Source organism: Homo sapiens, chromosome 3, assembly GCF_000001405.40.
Source record: "Homo sapiens chromosome 3, GRCh38.p14 Primary Assembly".
Taxonomy (NCBI): Eukaryota; Metazoa; Chordata; class Mammalia; order Primates; family Hominidae; genus Homo; species Homo sapiens.
The window spans coordinates 151,652,728-151,659,298 of NC_000003.12; the positions used below are offsets into that span (position 1 = coordinate 151,652,728).

The window sequence follows — 6,571 nt, forward strand, 5'->3', positions numbered from 1 at the left end:
GGAGGTTGAGGTGGGTGGATCACCTGAGGTCAGCAGTTTGAGACCAGCTTGGCCAACATAGCGAAACCCTGGGTGTGGTGGCATGTGTCTGTAATCCCAGCTACTTGGGAGGCTGAGGCAGGAGAATGGCTTGAACTCTGGAGGCGGACGTTGCAGTGAGCCCAGATTGCACCACTGCACTCCAGCCTGGGCGACAGAGTGAGACTCCATCTCCTAATAATAATAATGATAATAATACACATATACCAATGTAGCTAGTAGCACTTCTACTTTTTTTTACTTTAATCTTTGACTTGGCTTTCCCATTGAAGTAAATAAGATTGAATAATGAAAGTTATGCTTAGAGAGGGAGTTTCTCAGCTCTAAATCAAATTCTTCATAACTAGGAGATAGCAAGTAAAGTGTTACTTTGAAATGATATAACAATTCTAAGAGAAAAATACAAGCTCATGAAAGAGACTTAAAGTTTCTAAATTACCAAATCTCTCTTAAAAGTGGAAATAATGTGATGTAAGTGTAAATGAATCAATGACATTTGGACTTGATTTCACTTAAATTGCATGTGATTGCCCAGAAATGAAATTTTGCCTAGAATAATATTTTGAATTTTTGTAATAACTTTTGGACTTATGCCTAAGAATTATGCACATATCTTTAGTGATCATATTTGAAGAATAGAGTTTACTTCCTGATGTTTTCAAAATTATAAATTTAAGGTCACTTTGAGCATAAACTTGTAAAGATTAACTTGGGAAAAATGTGTATACATTTACTCAACTGGCAGATCAAACATAAATATTAGTTAAGGAAATGTCTTTTTTTTTTTTTTGAGACGGAATCTCGTCGCTGTGTCGCCCAGGCTGGAGTGCAGTGGCGCGATCTCTGCTCACTGCAACCTCCGCCTCCCGGGTTCACGCCATTCGCCTGCCTCAGCCTCTAGAGTAGCTGGGATTACAAGTGCCCGCCACCACGCCCAGCTAATTTTTTTTTTTGTATTTTTAGTAGAGACGGGGTTTCACCGTGTTAGACAGGATGGTCTGGATCTCCTGACCTTGTGATCCGCCCGCCTCGGCCTCCTAAAGTGCTGGGATTACAGGCGTGAGCCACCGCGCCCGGCCAAGGAAATTTCATCTTAAAAAGCACTGCCTGTTATCTGATTTAGCAGGTTATTTTTCACGAGTTAATTGTTATCTTTAAAATTAGCTTTCTTAAAACTAAGAGCTAATAATATATAGTTGTTATATGAAAATGTTTTTATTGGAAAGAAGAAAACCTGATCACTTGGGTCTCTTCCTGTCTTCCACAAGATAACCATTATCAATAATTTGATTAACATTTTTTCTATACACTGAGATTCTGTAAATATATTTTTATTCAGATTATTTTCACTTAACTTTTTAACCTAAACATTTTCCATGTTACTAAACATTTTTTGATGATAGTTGCTTTGTAGATGGCTATATAAAATTGTGTCCTGTAGTTGTATCATATTTTATTTTGGCAGTCTCTACTATTGAATTGTTTCCAATTTTATCATTTTATAAATATGGCTATGAAAAATATTGTGCACTGTAATATTTTTGTATATAAAAACCTTCTCTGTATTTAGAAGACCCAGAAGAACATTTAAATTACTGGATCAAAGAATAAAATATTAATCAATTTCTTGATTCAAGCAATCATTTTTTTCCCCAATTAATTACACTCCTATTAGCAGTGATTCTTAAATTAAAACAAGTCTTTATGACAGGCAAAATGCTTTATCTCATTATTTTAATTTTTGTTTATAAATCTGAGATCTTAAAAATTTTTATTTGCAGGCACTCAGAAGGAATTAACTCTTATTTTTATATTTTCTCTCTTATATTTAAAAAAGTTCTCAAAGATAAAGAACGAAACTGAACTTTCTTGGTTAGGCTGTAGGGAAGAAGAGATCTATGAATTTGTGTGTGTGTGTGTGTGTGTGTGTGTGTGTGTGTGTGTGAGACAGGGTCTTGCTCTCTCACCCAGGCTGGATTGCAGTGGCGCGATCTTGGCTCACTGCAGCCTCCGCCTCCTGAGTTCAAGCGATTCTCATGCCTGAGCCTCCAGAGTAGCTGGGATCACAGGCACACGTCATCACGCCTGGCTAATTTTTGTATTTTTGGTAGAGAAGGGGTTTCGTCAGGTTGGCCAGGCTGGTCTCCAACTCCTGACCTCAAGTGATCCGCCCACCTCAGCCTCCCAAAGTGCTGGGATTATATGCATGAGCCACTGTGCCCAGCCAGATCTATGAATATTTAATGTGTCTTCTTTTATTTAGATCTTCTTTAATTCCTTTCAATAATGTTTTGTAATTTTCAGAGAATATGTTTCATATTCCTTTTGTTACTAGTGTGCAGAAATACCATTGCTTTTTATATATTTGTCTTGCACATTCATAATGAAGTTCAACATGTACCTCTGTCTTCTGTATTTGCTGCAAATTGGTAGCAGGCTTAAATGTCTTGCAGCCTCAGGTTGTCAATTTGTTCAGACTGGAGGGTATTGTGTTCTTTCATCAGATCACCATACTATTTAGTTTTGTTCCTTTTTGTTAGCAGTTATTGATGCTCAGTGCCTTGACCCATTAACTTCAGTTGGGGTTGAAAATGGTGATATTCTAATTGTATTATGTCTTTTTTATTTTTTAGGTGTAATGATGTTATAAAGAGCCTTTTCCTCTCATCTACTAGGTTGCCCAGTGGTACAGTTCATGTGAAAAAGTCAGGATAGACTCTTGAGTCTTTACCTTTATAAACAATTTTCAGTATAATGAATTGCTAGCTTAAAGATGACTACTTTGTTGGTTTACTTTTAAATACCATTATGAACCCATTGATTTAAACATTTTTCATAGGCTTTGATCTGTTGCAATTCTTCACCATATTAAAGCTTAAGCTGTTTCATCTTTAATCAGTGTGAACCTCTTTAAGTTGGCTCCTGAGTCTTTTTGACATAACCCTTGTAGTATTTAATATTTTCCTTACTGTCTAGTAAGACAAGGTGTTCTAGGCTCAACTAATACATTACTTGGATTGGAAACAGCCATTTTTCAAGAACTTATGGTTTTGAAATGATATTTCAAGATCACAGTTAAGATACCAGGGATGTTCATTTGTTCATGAGTTAGTTAAATCACTTTTAGACTTTTTAAGTTGACAAAGCTAGAAAGTTTTATGTGTGGGCACACACAGAGTTATATTTAAGGATTAAATACATTATACTTTTATAACAGCTTTTTTTTTCTTGAGAGCAGAACAGTTAACACTATTTATTTCCTATGATGAAGTTCTGTTGAGATCATCTGAGCATCCTCTGACCCCCTGTTTTTATTCATGCTCCTGAAAGTCCCATATTAAGATTTTTCTTGGGTTCCCAACTAGCCTAAACTGAAAGTATAAAATCATAAAGATAGATGTTTGCAAGTTTTGCTATTTGTATAACAGCAAAACAACATTTACTTAAATTAGAATTTAATTAAGACTACTACAAGTTAAGATTACGATTGTTTAAAGTCCAGATACTTTGAGATAAACTCACTTTATTACAGAATATTTACCTGTTTTGTTCAAAGGAATCCAGCTTTGTTTGTATCCTATAGGGTCCCTCTGATTTAGGGGTGTCTTACAAACAGCTATGCAACTTTGAAAACACTACTTTATCAATGTACAATAATGTAACATACAAAGAAATTGGATAATTTGGGGGGCCACAGAGATTATTACTTTCTACCTAGTACATAGTTTTTGCTTTTGTAAGTAAAGCTCTTTTGGTGAAAGATAGTTTGGCTTAGGCCTATCTCAAAATCATGAGATATTTAACCTGGGTTTATTTTTCTGTTTTGGAGTTGTGTGTTTATTCAAAAGATGGTTTATGAAATAAAGCCATTTGTTTCCAATTGTGCAAGTCTTAATCCTGTAATTAATAACAGATTTTTTTTCAAAAAAGAAAAGAAACCATTCTCTTTTGCATTAAAACTTTTTGGGTAGCCTTTCAAATATTTTGGTGCCATTTAAATATTCTCTATTAAAACAAGTCACATTAAAAGGGCTTTTCTGCAGAATAACCATCCTTTCAACAAATCTATGGTTAAGATCCCACTCCCTCATTGTTTTCTCCTAAGGAATAGAATGTTGTTTATATCCTAAAAATTACCATGAAATGGTGATATATGTACCTTAATTTCTGACACAACCTAGGTTATTCTGAATGATTTGCCGGAACTTCCAGGGATATTTTTTATATTAAAATATATACTTGTGGTGTTGCAGATAGGCAGGAATCTAAATGTATAGGGCATGCCCAACTGCATCAGACAAATCAGTTATGTTTTTCTCCTGTTTTTCTTTTCAACCTCAGCAGTTAAAAAAATTATGGTAAAGATGTTTTTAAGAGAAAGTATGGCTAGTCAACAAAGTATACAGCCTGTAAATAGCAAGTTTGAAACTTCCACTCTTAAAGTTCTTTTAATTCTTCTTAAACTTACTTGCTAATTTCAGTTTTTTCTACCTCTTAGGATTTCAAAGGACCCAATGCTTATGTGATTTGATGTATAAGAACTGTTCTAAATGATTGTTCTTCATCTTTTCCTGGAGATATTTAAGTAGATCATTAATTCCTTAACTGTCAGCTCATTAAACAGTGGGTTATTACTAGGCACATGTATGTAACCTTTGATTCTCGCCATTTTAAAACAGGATGAATTTTTTTTTAAAAATTGGTCTATGTGGCACTTATCTTCTTCAGGCCACAGTTTTTTCATCTGATCGATTAAACAAATGTAAGCCTGCTGTATTCATTTTGGAAGGGGGAGTTACATTTACCCAGGAACTTTAAGTTTTATCTTTCCAGGACAAAAAATTATATTGGATTCCCTCTGTGATAGCTCTTTCTTTTCTGTCTCTAGGTTGAGAAGAAAAACCTGGCCCTTGTTCTTAGCCACTTTAATGAAGCATCACTTGCCACAGAGAGGGGAAAATAGCAATTTGCATTCTGAGATAATTTAAGACTAACCTTTAACTATATGTGCATTAATGTATGGCTAAAAATATGTATCAAGATTTTAAAATTATTAAAGGAAGCTTACAGATGATAAAGAAGATAAATATTTGAAAGAAAAATTAATCTTTGAATATATAGTCTGCTCTTAACAAGAAGCACTATGTGATTTTATTCTTTGATAGCAAAGATTGTTATAATTATTAAAACACTCTCACTCAAGAGCCCGTTTGTGTGTGTATGTGTTTGTGTGTGGGTGTGTGTGATTTTTTTCATGCTTTTGAATCCATTTCTAACGAAATTTGAAGTCTCAAAAGGCTAGAGTTTCTAATATTTATTACTTACTGCTGAGTTGGATTTTCAACCTAAGTCAAAATTACAACTGTTTCCTATAACTGTTTATTATCTTTAAAACTGTTAGAACTTATATACGGCCTCCTTTTGAGCAACAAATTCGCCTCCAAACCAGAATAATAAAAACTATCAATATGTTTTTTACCCCAAAAGACTACTAGACACCACCAATACTTTGCCCTTTCTCTTCATGAGGAGGGATAAGAAAAATGATTGCATATGTATATATGATTGTGCCATAATTTTAATTAGCTTAACACTACTGTCAAAACTGTCCTGTTTGCCAAACTCAAGATAAAAGAAGCGCTGACAAATCAAAAAGGAAAGCTGATCTCTCTTATGGTAATTATATACAAAATGAATATATTTCAATAAATGTGTACTTTTGGACAAATGAATAGGAACAGTTAAGGTAATGCATAAAGACTGCCAGAATAACTAAGTTGATTTGAAACAGAGTTACTTTTTAAGTTTAAAATCGCTTGCCAATTGTGACAATCATAACACACATTTTATAGGATAAATTAAAGGACCTTACAAACTCATCAGTAACTTCATCAATAATATATTCTTATTTTTAGAGTAATCATTTACTAAATTCTTAAAATATTTATTCATGTGAAACTTCAGTGCAGGACTTCACTGTTCCCCATTCTGATTTTGTTCATTATTGTAATAAAATCACCAAGAGTATTTTAGTCCTGTAAGTAAAAAGTGGTTCTGCTTTTCCTTCACACTTGCATAAAGTCCTCTGCTACAAGATTCAGAGTATTCTAGAAGAAATATCAAAAGAATGATGACTTCAGTAAAGGATTTTACTGCATGCTCTTAACAATGGGTTCTGCATGGAATAGCCTAAGGTGCACATGCTTCCTCCTCCCGTGAGCAGACTGAGGATTTCTAACACTCTTGGTGCAAATACAGATGATGTTGTGAAATAATTCAAGATAAAATGAATAAGAAGTAATGACCTCAGTCTGAATGACACTGATGAGAAAATTAAGTTGTGGTTGATGTTTTAGTTTTTAATTGAAATATAACAACGCCCATCTTTCTTTCTTCTTGATCTATCGATGTTAACAGACTAAGTATACTTCTACAAACTGGAAAAACTCTTTAAATGTTATCTTTTTCAATTGACACGTTAGAATTCAAAGAAGTTTAAAAAAATCTAATATACAAAATAACTAATAAATCA

At 33.8% G+C, this 6,571-nt stretch overlaps 1 long non-coding RNA gene across 1 annotated transcript in view; it reads left to right on the plus strand.

Annotated features, from left to right (window-relative positions):
• Positions 1-5,243, plus strand: part of LINC02066 (long intergenic non-protein coding RNA 2066) — a 105,814-nt gene extending 100,571 nt beyond the window's left edge. Inside the window, exon 5 of the long non-coding RNA NR_183765.1 lies at positions 4,928-5,243. This is a non-coding gene — a long non-coding RNA (long intergenic non-protein coding RNA 2066). The remainder of the gene's footprint in view (positions 1-4,927) is intronic.
• Positions 5,244-6,571: the final 1,328 nt, after the last annotated feature.